The 18,860-nt window shown below is 41.9% G+C and overlaps 1 protein-coding gene across 8 annotated transcripts in view, besides 2 other annotated features; it reads right to left on the reverse strand.

Moving 5' to 3' along the window:
- Positions 1 to 18,860, reverse strand: part of PLEKHM3 (pleckstrin homology domain containing M3) — a 204,240-nt gene that overhangs the window by 145,446 nt on the left and 39,934 nt on the right. For 7 of the 8 annotated variants that reach the window (XM_005246545.4, NM_001080475.3, XM_011511160.3 and 4 more), the window contains one exon: positions 9,918 to 10,853. The exons of the other annotated variant lie outside the window; for it this stretch is intronic. In XM_005246545.4, coding sequence (XP_005246602.1) covers positions 9,918 to 10,853 — 936 coding nt within the window. The remainder of the gene's footprint in view (positions 1 to 9,917; positions 10,854 to 18,860) is intronic. 8 annotated transcript variants of the gene reach the window in all.
- Positions 3,432 to 3,726: a silencer, noted in NCBI's record as "tiled region #2767; HepG2 Repressive DNase matched - State 5:Enh, and K562 Repressive non-DNase unmatched - State 23:Low". NCBI's record gives its function as "represses a minimal TATA promoter and a strong SV40 promoter by Sharpr-MPRA in HepG2 and K562 cells {active_cell/tissue: HepG2 | K562}" and the evidence as "EXISTENCE:reporter gene assay evidence [ECO:0000049][PMID:27701403]".
- Positions 3,792 to 4,325: an enhancer, noted in NCBI's record as "OCT4-NANOG hESC enhancer chr2:208835249-208835782 (GRCh37/hg19 assembly coordinates)". NCBI's record gives its function as "activates a minimal SCP1, AML or CMV promoter by ChIP-STARR-seq in naive and primed H9 embryonic stem cells {active_cell/tissue: H9 hESC(naive and primed)}" and the evidence as "EXISTENCE:reporter gene assay evidence [ECO:0000049][PMID:30033119]".

Below are 18,860 nucleotides of genomic sequence, written 5' to 3' on the forward strand. Positions count from 1 at the left end.
TAGTAGAGATGGGGTTTCACCATGTTGGCCGGGCTGGTCTCGATCTCCTGACCTCGTGATCCACCCACCTCGGCCTCCCAAAGTGCTGGGATTACAGGCGTGAGCCACCCCGCACCCAGCCTAGGATGTGTATTCTTAAAGAACAGCATACATAACTGAAGTTTCCAGATATGGTCTGGCCAGGGCAGAGTGCAGCAAGAATATTACCTCTTCTTTATGGATCTGTTTTGTAAAAGCTTTCCTTTTCTTTCTTTTATTTTTATTTTTTTAGACAGGATCTCACTCTGTCACCCAGGCTGAAGTGCAGTGTCATGATTATAGCTCACCGCAGCCTGGAACTCCTGGGCTCAAATAATCCTTTTACCTCAGTCTCCTGCACAGCTGGGACTACTACAGGCATCAGCCACCAGGCTGGGCTATTTTTTTTATTTTTTATTTTTTGGTGGAGACAGGGTCTTGCTATGTTGCTCAGGCTGGTCTCAAACTCCTGGCCTCAGGCAATCCTCCCACTTCAGCCTCCCAAAATGCTGAGATTATTGACATGAGCTACTGCACCAATCTTGTAAATGGTTTTCATGTAGCCATAGCAACACAAATGCTGGCTTCACGGCTGCCTCATTTGTATGCCCACATGGGCTGCTGTTAGCTCAGGTTTTCTCTACCTTCTATCTTTGTGGTTAATTTTCTGAATATAAATAGAGGACTATTTCTCCCTACTAAATCTCATCTTGTTTGTTTTGATCCATCCTCTAGCTTAACGTTTCAGAATCTCAATTCTGTCATTCCGCATATTAGCTCTCCAAACTAGTTTTGTGATAGCTGCAAATTTGATAAGTATGCCTATAGTATCTTTATCCAGGTAATTATAGTTGTAAGTGAGCAAATACCATTAGGTTGGTGCAAAAGTTATAGCGGCTTTTGCCATTAAAAGTAAGGGCAAGAACCGCAAATTACTTTTGCACAAACCTAATAATAACAGCTAGCCTCATATGACATTTACTATGTGCCAGGCAGCATTCTAAGTCCTTTAACTCAATTTATTCTCACTACAAACTAATAAGGCAGATGTGATTATTTTCTTACATCTGATCAAACAGTGGAGGTACGGAGAGGTTAAGTAGTTTACCTAGGGTCGCACAGCTGGTGAGTAGAACCAGAAACCCAAGCAGTCTGGCTCCAGAATCCTTGCTCTTAATTACTAAATTATTCTGCTTCTCATTATTATTGTGTACCTTTACTGACAAACTTCTAGACTGAGAGGGAACCATTAGACAACAATCCTTGAGTAAAACTGCAAATTATTCACAAAACAATGCACATACTACAATCTCTGATAACCCAAGTTAACAGAGATTGTAGTATGTGCATTGTTTTGAGGGCTTTGCCAAATGCTTTCCTGAACACTAAGTGCTATATAGCACAGACCTGACCTACTTCTCTAGTATTCCTCAATTTCTTTTGTGTGCCCTCAGACTATAAAGTCCTGGGAGTTACAGACCACAACTACACTTCCTCTTGTATCTCCCAGAGCACCTACTACAGCATGAACACACAACAGAAAGTTTTATCTTTGATAGATGGTAGCAAAAGCCAAGGAGATTTTCCCTGAGTTAAATTCTGTGGGAACTAACGACAAAGTTTAAAGTGGGGTTGGGGGTGGGGGGCCACTTTAGCTCTTTAGCTTTCAAATTCTCTAGTACAGATTCTCTGACATGAGCAGAGACAGGGATGTTAATGGTCTCCAAGCCACTGGCCATGATGGCTTGACCCTTGGTCACCCCATCCCATTCTTCAGCTCATTCCCTTCAAGCCCTCCATAGCCTTGGGAGGCTGGGTGTTTCTATAAGTATTTGAAGAGCACAACCTGCACCTCATTCTTATTTGCATATCCCAAGGTGCCTGTCAGAGTGGGTGTAGCACACAAAGAGGGGTTTGAAAACTCCCAACTAAAACTTCACCTAAGGACTCTACTATAAGCAAGCCCTCCACAGTTATATTCAAAGTTGGAAAAATAAAATTTAGCCCTTTATCGCACACAAATACCTAGGGATTTCTCCTCTGGGAGACAACAATCCAAAACACTCAATAAGAAAATGACTTAGACAATACAACATAAGAAGGCAACAATACGCTAAACATTTCTCATGTATCCAAGTTGTTTATATGTTTGGGGAAGGGTCATATCTGAGTTTTCCTTCATTGTCTTTTCCTCCCCCAATTAGCTACATACCTATTCCCTAACTCTAATAAATCTTCACCTTATTACTTCTAAGTGGGAGACAAATTTGAAAATAGTAGTAAAGATGATAATTGGAGATATCAAGGAAAGTCAATTTCCTTATTTCCACCTCTCAGTTCCTTAGAAGATCTGGCTCTTTGGCTACTAAAGGACCCCCCAATTTTTCACATGGGAATGAAAACAGATTTTGGCTACCTTAGAACTTCTTGTTTTTCAAGAGCGTAATACACAATGACCCTTCTGGGCACTTAGAGACCAACAGATCTTTCTTTACCTAGACTCACATTCATAAGAAGTTCCCAAATTCGATTTCCCTTTTTCTTAAGAATTGCTATTCTACATGATTTACCCAGAAGCCAATAAGTAACTAACTAGGTCCAACCCAGAAATACTGCTTACTTCCAGACTGGCAGCCATTTAATGAGTAATTAACCACCCCATACTTTCTATCAAGGATGCTTGTATTGCTAGGGTAAAGGTATCCTTTATGTCTAAATGATGCCATAAAACAGGCCTTTGCCAGAAATACGTCCTCATTTATCATATGAAATGCCATGTGGTATTAGCAAGGTCAATAATGTTTGTTTAATATATTTTGCTTTCATAGGAGCTTGAAATGATTTGTTTTTGCAGCTGTAACAGAGTTAAATTAGGGATTTAGCTTCAGCTTAGCTAGTTGAGCATATATAACTAGGAGCTATTAATTATCTGCCTAGAATCCTTTGGTCATCTTCCCACAACTTACAGCATCCTTGGAGGACTAAGTTACACCAAAAGCAGCCAGATTTTATCCTCGGGTAATTAATCTTGGCTTCTTGGTTACTAAGGGGAGGCTAAAAATTTGAGTTTTTATTTCTTATTCCACAACTCCCCCCACTAAGCATATAAATGTTATTAGTACATAGATTTTTTTCTAAAGTTGAGCAAGGAATTTAAGATAAAATCTTAGTGCAAAGGCTAGTTTCAGACATCCATTCCCACAAATAAAGAACTAAAAAGCACAACTTTTCTGCCCTTAAAGCACCAATAATCAGCCCCCTTCTCTTTTTCTTTCTTCTCATACTGCTGTTCAGGCTTAAACAGAGTACGGGGAGAGGAAGTTAGCTACAAAGATAAACTCATCAAAAGCCTGTCCTACAATTCTAATTGCCCTCTACCTGTTTGTGAATGATAGCTGGGAGCAACCGCTGAAAAGCTTTGGGGGAAAAAATGCAGGGAGGAAAATAAGGCAGGGGAGAGGAGAGAGAGGAGAGGAAAGAGGAGGTAGGGTGGGGCAAAGAAAAACTAGAGTGCAATTCAAACAAAAATGAAACTCTCTCTCTCTCAAACACACAAAGAGGAGGAAAATGCCCCCCCACCCCCCACCCCAGGTCCTAACAACATACTTCTTTATCAGAGGTTCATTGTCAATCAATTAGCCCAGGCAGCAGGGGTCTGTGATGGTGGGGGGCACCCAGGGAAACAATGGACAGCCCTGTTGTATTACTATTTAATCACTTTTGCTAAATAAATAGAGCAGCCCCGAGGTGCTGTCATGTCAAGGGAATTTATAACAAAAAAAACTTCATTTTTCATTGGTCATTACTTTTTTCCCTCCAGGACAAGAGAGGGTTATTACTGTAGCCTTAAGTTCCATCTTTGTGTTTCTTGCCTTTGATTCCCACTCAGACCCTGCCACTTTCTGGCACTAATTTGTCAGGCTGAACAAAGAGGGGATTTGTACCTCCTGTAAGGTCTCAATTAGGAATGGCTTCTGCTGTATTATGTGCCATTCAGAGAAGACACAATGCCGGTAATTACAGGAATTTGCACTAAATGGCTGAAGAATTCACAGCAAAACTTCTCCCCACCACCTCTTGGGTTTACCCCTCCCAAGGGTTGGAGGGAAAAAAAGAAAAGCAAAAAAGCTCTTAATGCCAGAGAGATGTAATTACCAACAGCAGTCCCAAGAGGTTAAACAGCAGCCAAGGAGTAAAACCATAAAATCTGACACAGTGAAAATGGTGTAGGGGATCCCCCAGGCTCACTGTTTTTCTTGCTGTCTTTGCTGTTAACATGTTCAAATTCAGTTCAGAATTGGGAACACTGCCCTACAGTGGGCCATCCAATTTCATCTCCAGATTACAAAACAGTCATACAAGGAACACTTCCAAAGGTGAGCTTTGCATCTCTTGTCACACTCAGAAACAAGTCCTTGGGCCCTTTTATTATAGTACTCAATTGCAAGGTTTCTTGATTGCTAGGAAATTATAGGAAAAATATCTGTGTGTGCTAGTGCCAAGAAAACTATGTATCTATTAAGTGCAAATAGGTAGGTACAAATGTCAAATTCCTAAAGAAAACAGAGCTGCTTAGATAGGAGGAATAAGTTCTAGTGTTCAATAGCACTATAGGATGACTATAGTTAACAATAATACGTAGTTTCAAATACCTAGAAGGGAGATACTGAATGTTCCCAACACAAAGAAATGATAAATGTTTGAGATAATGGATATGCTAATTACCCTGATCTGATCACTATACATATGTATTGCAATATCACTATGTACCCCATAAAGATGTATATTGTGTCAATTAAAACTTTTTTTAACTAAAAAAAAAAAAAGAGCTATTGCCTTAATCTAATTTATATGGCATTTTGTGAATAACCTAATATAGAATCACATACAGGTACACACTTCATAAATATTTTAATAAGCTGTATAGTCATTTGTTTTAGCATTAATACTATAGCACCACAGATTCCCCATTGCCAAACACAATTTTAAACCTCAACCAGTAATTTCACCGAAGAAGCATGCCTCATTTGCTGCTACAGGTGTCCCCGAAAAGCTGTACCACCAAATTAACTGTTCCTACATACCATTCCCATCATGTGCTTCTCTGCTCAAGAACCTTCTGTGACTTCAGGGTCAAACATAAAATGTAATCTGAACTGTCTTTACTTTTATAGGTCAAAAATGACTGAAAAATCTGCAATTTCACATAGTTCTACCTGGCACCATCTCTGAGAGTTCTCTAACCCAATGCATGGGCGTCACATCTGTAGCAATTGTCACAGCTGCCTTTTGACATTCACTGATGTGATTATTTGATTCATGTCTTCCCTAGTGGACTGCAAATTTCATGAAGGCAAGGACCATGTCTGCTTTCCTCCAGCACTGACCCATCTAGGTGCATCCAAGTTTCTGGGCACACAATAAATGACAGAATGAATGAAACAACTAAGTTTTCAAATTTCAAGAAGTAGAACTAGCAAGTGTAAGGGTCCTAGAGGTAGGCATGATAATAGTAGGTTCCAGGAACAGCAAGAAGACCACTATAAGGCTGGGCACAGTGGCTTACGCCTGTCATCCCAGCACTTTGGGAGGCCGGGGGGCGGGGGGGCGGTGGATCATGAGGTCAGGAGTTCGAGACCAGCTTGACCAACATGGCAAAACCCCGTCTCTACTAAAAATACAAAAATTAGCCGGGCCTGGTGGCACACGCCTGTAATCCCAGCTACAAGGAAGGATGAGGCAAGAGAATCACTTGAACCCAGGAGGCGGAGGTTGCAGTGAGCCGAGATCATAACACTGCACTCCAGCCTGGGCAACAGGGCGAGACTCCGTCTCAAAAAAAAAAAAAAAAAAAGAAGACCACTATGGCTGGGGCTTCCTAAGCTCAGTGCAACCCTGGAGCTGCAGAAGAAGCCACGGAACAGTCACACATAATCAGATACAACTATCAAAAATCAAGTACACATTTAAGAAATATACCGTTATGTATCAGCATATATTTTTAAAACCATAACCTCAGGCATTTTTGCATAACCATGGTCCATTTTTTTCTGCAGGGCTGTTTAAATTTTAAAGAAGGATATAGAAAATTCTTCACTTACAGAAATAATTTAATGAAATAAGGCCAATTGCACTATTTTGTAGATTTAAAAGCCAACATTTGTGGCTCCCCTGAATAGCAAGTAAATGACATCATAACAAAGAGCTACTCCATACAATCTTCCACTTCTAAAGTTTATTCATCCAAACTATTTAAAGGGGGAAGAACTAAGTAGACATAAAAACTTATAAAGGGGCACACTAAAACCATGAAATACAGTGAATTAGCCTCTCCTTAAAATAATACGTAAAGCCAAAACTCATCAAAAACAATGTGCTGAAGTTTTTGGCATTTTGGAAGATCAACATGCTATGCCACCAGCTTTTTCACTGAAGGTGTGTTTTTATGAGGATGCAAAGTTAGAAGACATAGGTACAAAAGGAAGAAGCAGCTGGTTTAGATTAACTGTGTTTGTGAGAAACACAGATCAATTTTTAACGTTCCATCTGCTATAATAATCTCTGATATAATGAACAGTCTCCCAGGTAATTTAAAAAACATTCAGAAGTTTGCTTAACAGGTTTTGGCCTTTTTCTTTTGAGACTCTGCCCCCTACAGGAGATCAGGAAATAAAGTATTCTTACCTAGAAAACCAGAGTTCAGCCTGGCACAGGCGGTGGCTTACGCCTGTAATCCCAGCACTTTGGGAGGCTGAGGCAAGCGGATCACCTGAGGTCGGGAGTTTGAGACCAGCCTGACCAACATGGAGAAACCCTCATCTCTACTAAAAGTACAAAATTAGCCAGGCGTGGTGGCGCATGCCTGTAATCCCAGCTACTCAGGAGGCTGAGGCAGGAGAATCACTTGAACCCAGGAGGCGGAGGTTGCAGTGAGCCGAGATCATGCCATTGCACTCCAACCTGGGCAACGAGAGCGAAACTCCATCTCAAAAAAAAAGAAAAAAAAGAAAGAAAACCAGAGTTCAAGTGCTGGTATGAAAAACAACCTGGTAAACCACAAGTATCACAAAGCAACTGAATGCAGCACTTTCTGAGGGAAGAAAGGGCATATAAATGGAACAGCTTTTCTTTCTTTTCTTTTTTTTTGGAATGTGCCACACTATACAAAATAAGACTGACTTCTCCCTGTCCCAAATTAGAAACCTGTCTCTCTCTGCCCCGTTCGTTAAAACTCCGAACCAAAGCACAAAGTTAAAAGTCAAGCAGTGCAAATAAATTTTAGACTGCCTTCCTCCCCTGATTCCGTACTACTACCCTTACCCAACCTATCCTCCACAAGCCAAATTTCGTGAGCACAAAATTTAGACAGCAAAGGGAAGCATCCTATCATATGGAACCTAACTAAGGCAGCTGCCAGAAATTTCTATTCCTGCCCATTATATTATAATAATACGTTTCCTGTTCTTTTCTACTCAGCTTCCTTCTCCTTCTTTTGCTCACTTTTCTTTTTTTCCTGATTTCATTTCTCCAGCTGCCGGATGCGAATGAGCTTGCTGAATGGCACCTTCTTACCTACATTTCTCCTTCCTCTTGAGTGTCAGGAATGCTACGAATGCAGTGCAGAGCATGGGCAGTGCACACTCCATCAGAAGGCACACTTCTGAGAGGGAGGTGAATTAGGCAATACCTCTTGTGAAATACCTGAGGCTTTTCTTCCCTCTTTTACTAGAAAGTTTCTTGATTCAGCTACTCCAATCTCCACATCTTGAGAACTAAGCTGAGCTGTTCTTCCTTACTCCAATAACACAACAGATTTGCTGACCACGTCTGTAATCTAAAGCCACGGAAGTGTACCATAATTCCAGGATGTCCAGAGTAAGCACTTAGTAAATTATTATTGAATGTCTGAACTTAAAAATATATGTACTAGTATAAGACACTGAAATGTCAGTAATTTCTATTTTTTTAAAAAACTGCTAAAACTAGTATCTCATCATTTCAAAACCATTTTCCAAAAGTATCTGGGTGACTTAACACAGGTCTTTCATACCTACAGATACATATATATAAACTAGTAGAGCTTCTTTTTTTTTTTTTTGAGATGGAGTCTCACTCTGTCAACCAGGCTGGAGTGCAGTGGTGCAATCTCAGCTCACTGAAACCTCCGCCTCCCAGGTTCAAGCGATTCTCCTGCTCAGCCTCCCGAGTAGCTGGGATTACAGGCGCCCACCACCACACCCGGCTAATTTTGTATTTTTAGTAGAGACGGGGTTTCACCATATTGGCCAGGCTGGTCTCGAACTCCTGACCTTGTGATCCGCCCGCCTCGGCCTCCCAAAGTGCTGGGATTACAGGTGTGAGCCACCGCGCCCAGTCTAGTAGAGCTTCTTAACTGGCTCAGTGTTTCTGGTCTCTCTGATCCCACTCTGCAAGTTTCTGGTCCACAATCACTGAGGCCCTTGAGTCAAAGCAAGGATGATTCACTCAGTCCTCACTCTGGGTAATTTATTTTCCATAGAAAAGACTAGCATCATAACTAACCTAAGTTCAAAACGTGGGTTTTCAATGGCCACCTTTATTTGGCTTTTTTCAATGCAGGAGCAAGGACAAAATTTTAAATGTGGTTTTGGCTGGTGGTGAGCTTCTTGATGATTTTTAAACAACATGTTAAACCTAATAGACTTGAATTAAAACCTTCCAAATCAGATTTCCATTTAAAGCCATTCTCATGGTAAATTTAATGTCACAAACTGTGGGGTTTAATGGAAGGAAAATAATTTTATTTAGTTTATAACAGATATCTAGATCGGGTTCAGTGAGGTTTTAAAAGCTTTTTTTTTTTTTTTTTTTTTTTTTTGAGATGGAGTGTCGCTCTGTCGCCCAGGCTGGAGTACAGTGGTGCAGTCTCAATCTTGGCTCACTGCAACCTCTGCCTCCTGGGTTCAAGTGATTCTCCTGCCTCAGCCTCCTGAGTAGCTGGGATTACAAGCACCCACCACCAAGCCTGACGAATTTTTGCACTTTTAGTAGAGATGGGGTTTCACTATGTTGGCCAGGCTGGTCTTGAACTCCTGACCTCAAGTAATCCACCTGCCTTGGCCTCCCGAAGTGCTGGGATTTCAGGTGTGAGCCACTGCACCTGGCACAATTTTTTTTTTTTTTTTTGGTAATTTTACTGTTTCAGGAAAGGTGGAAAGAATGGGGAGTAGAGGAAAGATGAAGTAACAAGCTTTTACAAAATAAGATTGTTGACCTCAAACTCCACTTTGCATCTCATCCTTACATAGCAGTTCCAGAAGGCCTGGGCTTCCCCATGATGGGCATAAGCCCATAGTGACTCAGTGGTCATCTGCTGAATCATCATTTACTCCGCTTTTAGCCACCCCCACATTTTCTGTCAAGACTGATTTTCTAGATTTCACCTTAAGACGATTTGACAAGGTCAAGATCAATGACAGTTACTGACTGTGGCCATTTTCCTTGCCTAAGGAGTTTTAGTAGTCAGCTTTGGACTTGAATGTTTCTTATGAGACAATTTGTGACATCCATATTCACAGTGACCTTTATTCAAGAAAGCAGAGGGAATGGAATCACAGCCGACTCAGGAAACCTAAATTCTAGTCTGGTTAAGCTTTAGCCAAATCATTTTGATTCAACAGGATATATCATAGCTGCTTCTATTTACTTCAACAGCATGGGATAAAGATGGTTGTCCTTATGTTTTAATATAGTAATTTAATATAGGATGTTTTAATACAGTAAGCTTCTCGAGGAGAGATACTTTTTATAAACAGGAGATAGCTGTGACTAGCCTATTAAGGGGATTTTTAAAGTGAATTCCAATTGTGGGGTTCAGGATTGTTCTTTAATGAGCTATAGGCTGAAAATCTGCTTCATACCTGCACATTTGAAACTCTGAGCAGTGAGTCCTCGTTCCAAAGACAAAGTCGTCAAAATGCTCAGGAAGCTGGTAGTCACAGATTGGCGTTTGTTCTTCCTGAGTTCATGCCCACCCATTTGATCCTTGGGTTTGTTCCTCAGTGTGACTTGCAGGTTTTGCTCTGAACTCCTCGCCACATTGGCAGCTATCTTCAGAGCCTCCATCCATTCCTGAGCCCTCTGTCGGGTCTCAGCTCGGAGGCGAAGGACATCCTGGGGGAAAATGACTTGAAAGCAAGAGTCGCAGCCATCCAGGTTGTCCATCTGGACAGCCAGACACACGTCCACGTTGTAGCTCAACAGTGGATCCTCGTCTAGCTTGCCAGGCTGAAAAGCCATAAGGTAAGCCCTGCTCAGCACAAATGTAAATGCCTTCCAGTTGTTTTGGACAGTCAGCCTGTAGAGAGTCCCTGATTTGAGGATGTTTTGGTACTGTTTGGAGCTGTCCAGGACAGGGGACGGTGGCAGCAGCCCACTGGTTTTCTTCTGGAAACTATGATTCTGTGTATAGTCATCATGATGGCCAAGCCCTGGTGAGATTGTCAGCTCATTCTGCCGCCCCATGTAACCGGGCACAGCAGCATGCACTACTTCCCAAAGCTTCTGTCCCCAGTCCAAAGCCTCCCATGGTGACTCTGCCTTTAGCTGTAGCTGAGTGTTGTCATACAAAACAGTATCCACCATCCTGGCCTCCAGGTTGCCTAAAACAGATATGCTCTGGAAGTGTGAAAGCTGGTACGTGGCATAAAGGTTTTGATTCCCACTGCTGTCGAGGCTGTAGAAGTATAAGTTGTAAGGTGAAAGTTCTGCATAACAGCTTTGCCAGTAACTGTCATGGTCCTTTCTAATCTCCAGGTAACCCTTCTTTAGAATGTTTGGGAATGTCTGCTTGTGTTCTAGAAAGGAAAAGAGAGGCAAAGTATTGATTAGAATTAGTTATAAGAAGGCAGGCACAAGAAACCACACAGATCAGGGCACAAGAAACCACACAGATCAGGGACTGACAGTCTTCTGGTTCAAATTAAACAAAATAAAAGTAGTAGAATCCCACGATGGTACCTAACTGGCAAGAAATAGCCGGGGAAATCTCGAGTCTAAAAACTGTAACTAGGAGGCTGGGTGCGGTGGCACACACTTCTAATCCCAGCATTTTGGGAGGCCAAGGTGGGAGGGATTGCTTGAGCCCAGGAGTTCAAGACCAACCTAGGCAACATAGTGAGAGCCCGTCTCTATAAAAAATTAAAAAATTAGCTGGGCATGGTGGCACATGCCTGTAGCCCTAGCTACTCAGGAGGCTGAGGTAGGAGGATCACTTCAGCCTGGAGGTTGGAGCTGCAGTGAGCCATAATCATGCCACTGTACTCCAGCCTGAGTGACACAGCAAGACTCTGTCTTAAAAGTAAAATAAAAATAAAAACTAGAACTAGGGTGGAATCACATGTACAAGAATAAGTATGGGGCATGGAACGTGCAACATCAACGGAGCGTGCAACATCAACGTGAGATGCAGAGGTCTGTGTAGAAAACAGAAATACTGGAACAACTGTGACTAGTTATGCCTTGTGAATCTAGGAACCAATCACGCTTTGCCAGGGTTCCATGTTTTCTAGGTAACAGTCTATTAGGGTGGTGCAAAAGTAATTGCGGTTTTTACCATTACTTTTAACGGTAAAAACCGCAATTACTTTTGCACCAACCTAACAGTACCAAATACACAAGAGAGAACGTGCCTTCCGCCACTGGACCTAACTCCCTGCTAATACTTTTATCTTCCCTCAGGTTGGTAAAGCGAGGAAGGGTCAATGAATAGGAGCGAGCATAAAATGTGCTGCTCACAAACTCTCATTTCTCAGAAACCTTCAGCAGCCCTCCAGGCCAGTTCATGGGCCTTCTGTCTAGTAATCAGAGATCCAAGCTTGACTCGACTAGTTCACTTTTTAGGTCTCTGCTTAGATGGCCGTTTTCTCTCTGAGCCTGACTGTGCTTATGCTGTCCCCTGAGCTTGCAATGCTCCTTCCACAGGCTTCAATCAGCAACTGCACACTTACCCTCTTTCAGAGAGTCTGTCCTGATTCCCCAACCTCGCCTACACACATGCATGCATGCCTGAGTCAGTATCAGGTATCACTACTAAATTATTCTTCTATCATGGGCTCTTAGTTCAGGCTATATTATAATAGCTTATTTACATGTCTGAACAAATAAAATAAGTCTTAAATTTTTTTTAAGGCTGTCTTTCCTGCTGGACAATCAGTTCCACTAAGGGCAAGGGTAAGATCTGTCTTTTCATTCTTAGACCACAGAACATTGAACATTGCCTTGTACATAGTAGGTACTTAATAAGTACTTGTTGAATTAGAAATAAGGTACCTAGCACAATGCTCAGCACATAGTAGGTATAATTCCCCTCCTATCTTCTTTTCTCCCTTCCCCTCTGTTTTACAAGTCATGCCATCCGTAATCAATGATTAGCTGCAATATATACTAGTTTAGTACTTAATAAAAGGGGATTATCACTTGAGAGATTTCCTGACATTCTTATCAGACATGAAAATGACATCCAGTCAGGCGCAGTGGCTCACGCCTGTAATCCCAGCACTTTGGGAAGCCGAGGAGGGTGGATCACCTGAGGTCAGGAGTTCGAGACCAGCCTGGCCAACATGGCGAAACCCATCTCTACTAAAAATACAAAAATTAGCTGGGTGTGGTGGCATGCGCCTGTAATCCCAGCTACTTGGGAGGCTGAGGCAGGAGAATCACTTGAACCCAGGAGGCGGAAGTTGCAGTGAGCTGAGATCATGCCATTGCACTCCAGCCTGGGTAACAAGAGTGAAACGCCGTCTCAGAAAAAAAAAAAAAAAGAAAGAAAGAAAATGACATCCATGTGAAGGATGTCAATCATCTCCTCCCTGGTAGAGACTTTAATTTCTGAAATGTTTCTCAATCTCTTTGCCAACACACATTGGAGACAGTCATAAACTAATTGAGACATTCCCTAAAAAAGATAAATCATACTGCCAAAGGGTATGATTTCTGCTTTTGGCTAAAGATTTCTGCTTTTGACTAAAGAAAAAAAGAGTAATACAGGTCTAGATCTTAAAATAGCAAACCAAAAGAGAAAAGGAGAGAAATGAGGCTGAGAAAAGCCAGTTTTACCTGCTTTACATCTCTGGTCCTGACATTCATTAGTATTTCTGTGGTAACTCAAAAGCCATTAATTTCTTGCAACCCACACTAATCCCTTTGTAGAAAGAGATAATGGATGCCTATTTGCAGGTTATCTTTCTCTTCTGATAATGCAATAAGGGAGGCAGTGCTGTTAGCGACACTGCTGCCACCTCTCCTGATCTCATTTCCATCAAGCACTGATGATAGTTCAATCTTTTCCACAATAAGACTTAAAACTATGTGTCCCTCTATCCCCATCCCTACTGTGACCCAAAGGCTCAGCTGAGTCTGCTGAGTAAAATAAAAACCACCTCTCCTGCTTTTAGCTAGGAATTTTCCTCCCCTCTTCTTATCTCCCTGTGAGCTTTTAATAACAGCTCCCAGGAATTAAAAATTCTACTTTAATTGGGCCCAAACCAGCAGCAAGCCTGGCTAAAACCTCACTTCTTTCTAACTATATGAGCTAGGGTGGCAGGTGCCAGCTTGGGTGGACTGAATGAGAAGACCGGCGAGGGAATCTTCAAGGTTCCCTCACCTTCTAGATGCAGAAGAAGAAAAAATGCACTGGGTACCAACATTTTTTCCCCACTCACTAAGCAACATTTCCTATCTCTGTTCTCCCAACTCAGCTTCAGCCCTCTTTAAGTGGTACATTAAATTGAAACAGAAAATAAAAACTGTGAATCCTAGAATCCTAGGAAATGGCCTTTTATTTATTTTTATTTTTTGAAACAAGGTTTTACTCTGTCACCCAGACTGGAGTGCAATGGCGTTATCATGACTCACTGCAGCCTTGACCTCCCAGGCTCAAGCAATCCTCTCACCTCAGCCTCCCAGCCAGCTGAGAATACAGGTACATGCCACCACACCTGGCTAATTTTTGTATATTTTTAATAGAGACAGGGTTTCACCATATTGCCAAGGCTGGGGAAATGGTGTATTCTTACAGGCTGCTGTTTGTCATGTAATTTTTTGAAAAATAAGAATCGGCCGGGCACGGTGGCTTACACCTGTAATCCCAGCACTTTGGGAGGCTCAGGCGGGTGGATCACCTGAGGTCGAGTTTGAGACCAGCCTCGTCCAACATGGAGAAACCCCATCTCTACTAAAAATACAAAAATTAGTCGGGTGTGGTGGTGTGTGCCTGTAATCCCAGCTACTCGGGAGGCTAAGGCAGGAGAATCACTTGAACCCAGGAGGCAGAGGTTACAGTGAGCCGAGATTACGCCACTGCACTACAGCCTGGGCAACAGAGAGAGACTCCATCTCAAAAAAAAAAAAAAGAAAAAAAGAAAAGAAAAACAAGAAGAAAAATAGCAAAGGTGATCAGGAAGCTATTTTCTGGAGTATCCATTCCTCTCTGGAGGATCTGTCTATATCATACCTTATTAATATATTGTGTATGATATAAAAGTTATATATCTGATCATAAAGGGCTAGAGAACTACCATCTCTCTTTAATCTCTAACAATTCTTTCTACTGGATCTGAAGTTTATTTATTTGAGACAGGGTCTTGCACTGTCACCAAGGCTGGAGTACAGTGGCACAATCATAGCTCACTGCAGCCTTGAACTCCTAGAGGTTCAAACAATTCTCCTGCCTCAGCCTCCTAAGTAGCTGGGAGTACAGGCGCACATCATGATACCTGGCTTATTTTTTTATTTCTTTGTAGAGAAGGAATCTTACTCTGTTGCCCCAGCTGGTCTTGAACTCCTGGCTTCAAACAGTCCTCCCACTTTGGCCTCCCAAAGTGCTTGGATTATAGGTGTGAGCCACTGCACCCAGACTGAAGTTTATTTTTAATATTTTTGCTACTGACAAATCAGAAGCTATGTATTTAAATCTAAATTTTCATTAATTTACCATAGTTCACTTTTTGTTTCTCTGGGCCATATCATATCAACTCATTTAATTAACCCCACACATATTCTTTTAAAGTATTCAATTTCATAAATAATAAAATCTCACAATGACTAATTTGATAAATGAATAATATCATATAATAATGAAGTGAAAGTGTTTGACTTCATAAATGAATATCATCACAGATGAATACAGTTGACTCTTGAAAAGCATGGGTTTGAACAGTGCAGGTCCACTTATACCTGGATTTTCTTCTACCTCTGCCACGCCTGAGATAGGAAGACCAGCCCCTTCTCTTCCTCCTCAGCCTATTGAGCATGAAGATGAAGAAAATGAAGACTTTTATAACCTACTTCCACTTAATGAATAGTAAATATATTTTCTCATCCTTCTGATTATTTACTTATTTTATGGAGATGGCTATGGCCACCATGGTGCACCTGTCAGCCTGTTTGTGATTTATTTATTTCCTTCCTTCCTTCCTTCGTTCCTCCCTCCCTCCCTCCCTCACTCCCCCCCTCGCTCCCCCCCTCCCTCGCTCCCTCCTTCCTTTTCTTTCTTTCTCAAGACGGGGTCTCACTCTGTCACCCAGGCTGGACAGCAGTGGTACAAACATAGCTCACTGCAGCTTTGAACTCTTGAGCTCAAGCAATCCTCCAAGATCAGTCTCCAGAGTGGCTGGGACTACAGGTATGCACTACCACACCTGGTTCATTTTTTAATTTTTTATAGAGACAGAGTCTTGCTATGTTGCCCAGGCTGGTCTCAAACTCCTGGCTTCAAGCAACCCTCTCACCTTGGCCTGCCAAAGTGCTGGGATCATAGGTGTGAGCCACTGTGTCCAGCATTGATTTTCTTTTTTTTTTTTTTTTTGAGACGAAGTCTTGCTCTTGTCCCACAGGCTGAAGTGTAATGGCACGATCTTGGCTCACTGCAACCTCCGCCTCCCAGGTTCAGGCAATTCTCCTGCCTCAGCCTCCTGAGTAGCTGGGATTAGAGGTGCCTGCCACCATGCCCGGCTTATTTTTGTATTTTTAGTAGAGACAGGGTTTCACCATGTTGGCCAGGCTGGTGTCAAAACTCCTGACCTCGTGATCTGCTTGCCTCGGCCTCCCAAAGTGCTGGGATTACAGGCATGAGCCACCGCGCCCGGCCTGATTTTCTTAATAACGTTTTCTTTTCTCTGCCTTACTCTATTGTAAGAATACAGTATATAATACATATAACATACAAAATATGTGTTAATTGACTGTTCATGTTATCAGTAAGGTTTCTGGTCAACAGTAGGCTATTAATAAAGTTTTGGGGGAGTCAAATATTAAACATGGATTTTTTTTTTTTTTTTTTGAGACGGAGTCTCGCTCTGTCGCCCAGGCTGGAGTGCAGTGGCATGATCTCGGCTTACTGCCAGCTCCGCCTCCCAAGTTCATGCCATTCTCCTGCCTCAGCCTCCCAAGTAGCTGGGACTACAGGCACCAGCCACCACGCCCAGCTAATTTTTTGTATTTTTAGTACAGACGGGGTTTCGCCATGTTAACCAGGATGGTCTCAATCTCCTGACCTTGTGATCCGCCCGCCTCGGCCTCCCAAAGTGCTGGGATTACAGGCGTGAGCCACCACGCCTGGCCTAAACATGGATTTTTTATGGCATGGGGGATTAGCACACCTAACCCAAGTTATTCAAGAGTCAACTGTAATATAATTTATTTTGCAAATGAGTAAATTATCTAATATCACAAATGATCCAGATAGGATCACGGACAGAGTATCACCATTTCCCCAAAGAAAACAGAGAAAGGTGAGCAAAACAAATCACTGTACCCATGAATTTCATACTGAAACCACAAGACAAATTCCCCATGAAAAAGAAAAAAAAAAAAACAGAACTATTTCTCCATTGCTTTCTACTGTGGCTAATACAAAGACTTGGTTCTGTTCCTCCTCAGTGAAGATCCCCTTTTCCTTCTCCTCCTCGTCTTTACAGTATCCAGTGCAGTGGTTTCAGGACAATAAATGCTACTTACTGAAGAGGAAGAAGGGAATTTTCCCTGTCATGCACCTGATTCACTTCTCTACTGCCAACACACCAAAGAGTTCCTCTTTTGCCACTATTTCCTCTATCTGTTCTCAAAAAAGTTTCCATCCTCATGGCCACCTTCATCAAGGTTGAGTCCTCCTCCTTCCTGGCCACTTCACCCACTGTTGCCAGGCTAAACTCTCTGGGTATCTCACAGTCCCTCTCACGTCCCTCCTCAGGCTAACACTCTTCACAGGTTTCTGGGTGCCAAACAGTAAAGTCCATACTCCTTAGCTTGGCCTTCAACATTTCATTACAGAAAGTTTCAAACACACTTGAAAAGCATGTAGAAGAGTAAGATGAATGCCAGGTACTCATTGTTCAGTTTTAAAAATCGCAAATTTCTGCCATTCTTCTTTCATCCCTCTTACCCCTCTCCAACTCTTGTTTTTTATTTGTTTTTCTTGCTGGTATGTTTGAAAGCAAATCACAGACATTTGTTTTATTTCACCTGTAAATACTTCAGGGTATATTTCTAGTCTAACAGATAAGATCTTTAAAATATATACGATACTTTTTTCACACCCAACAAAATTAATAATTCCTTATCTAATACCCAGTCTGTGTCTAATTTTCCCAGGTTGTCTCAAATATTTCTTTTTTTTTTTTGAGACGGAGTCTTGCTCTGTTGCCCAGGCTTGAGTGATCTCGGCTCACTGCAACCTCCACCTCCCAGGTTCAAGCAATTCTCCTGTCTCAGCCTCCCGAGTAGCTGGGATTACAGGCGTGTGCCACCACACCCAGCTGGTTTTTGTATTTTTAGTAGAGACAGAGTTTCACCATGTTGGTCAGGCTGGTCTCAAATTCCTGACCTCAGGTGACCCACCCACCTCGGCCTCCCAAAGTGCTGGGGTAACAGGCATGAGCCACTGCGCCTGGGCACATTTCTTTAATATACATAGTTTGTTTGAATGAGTTCATATGTTGATTTTGTTGACATGTCTTTTAAGTCTTTTTAAATCTATAACAGTTCTCTCTTCCTCCTTTTTTTCATGCCATGTATTTCTTGAAGAAGCTGGTTCATTTATCCTGTAGAATTTCCCACATTCTGGATTTGGCTGAGTGTATCTTCACAGAATTACTTCAATGTTCCTGTTTCCCATGTTTTCTGTCAACTGCTACTTGGACCTCAAGGTTCAGTGAGGTTTTTTGTGTTTTGGTTCTTGGTGGCTTTTTGGTTTTGTTTCTGTTTTGTTTTTGTAAGAATATGTCACAGGTGGTTGTCCCACTTCTACGGATGTTAAGATAATTAGGGGGTTCAGAGTATATTAGCCTGACCCCTCCATCATAAATTTCCTCAGGAACCCCTCACACAGTGCTGCCACTCTTAACTCCACCATCTTTCCATCAGCTGACCAAATCACCATGTCCATGGCTCACCCACTCCTGACCTTCATGCATTTTTCTCCACAGTCCCCCACCTAGATCTTCCTTCGTCTCTGCTTGTCCAAGTTCTCCTCATACTTGAGGGCTAGGATAAAATCTCATCCATTCCTGAAGGCTTTCTTCATCCCTTCTAGTTGAAAACAACTGTCCTCCTCTGAACCCTCATGGCTCTATGTCTATACCCTTATGACGACTCAGAGTCATTTTTGCCTTATATTTCAAATACTATTTCATGCTCATCAAATACTTATTAAATTTTATAATAAAAATTATTCCCCAAATCAGTAAGAAATGTAAAAGGAAAAAAATTTCCACTTCTGCACCCTAGCACCCACAAAATTCTCCTGCCCAGACTGTATACTGTTTGCTATGAACCCTTTAGATATTTTAATAAATACATTCAGATAA

This window comes from Homo sapiens, chromosome 2, assembly GCF_000001405.40.
Source record: "Homo sapiens chromosome 2, GRCh38.p14 Primary Assembly".
Classification (NCBI taxonomy): domain Eukaryota; kingdom Metazoa; phylum Chordata; class Mammalia; order Primates; family Hominidae; genus Homo; species Homo sapiens.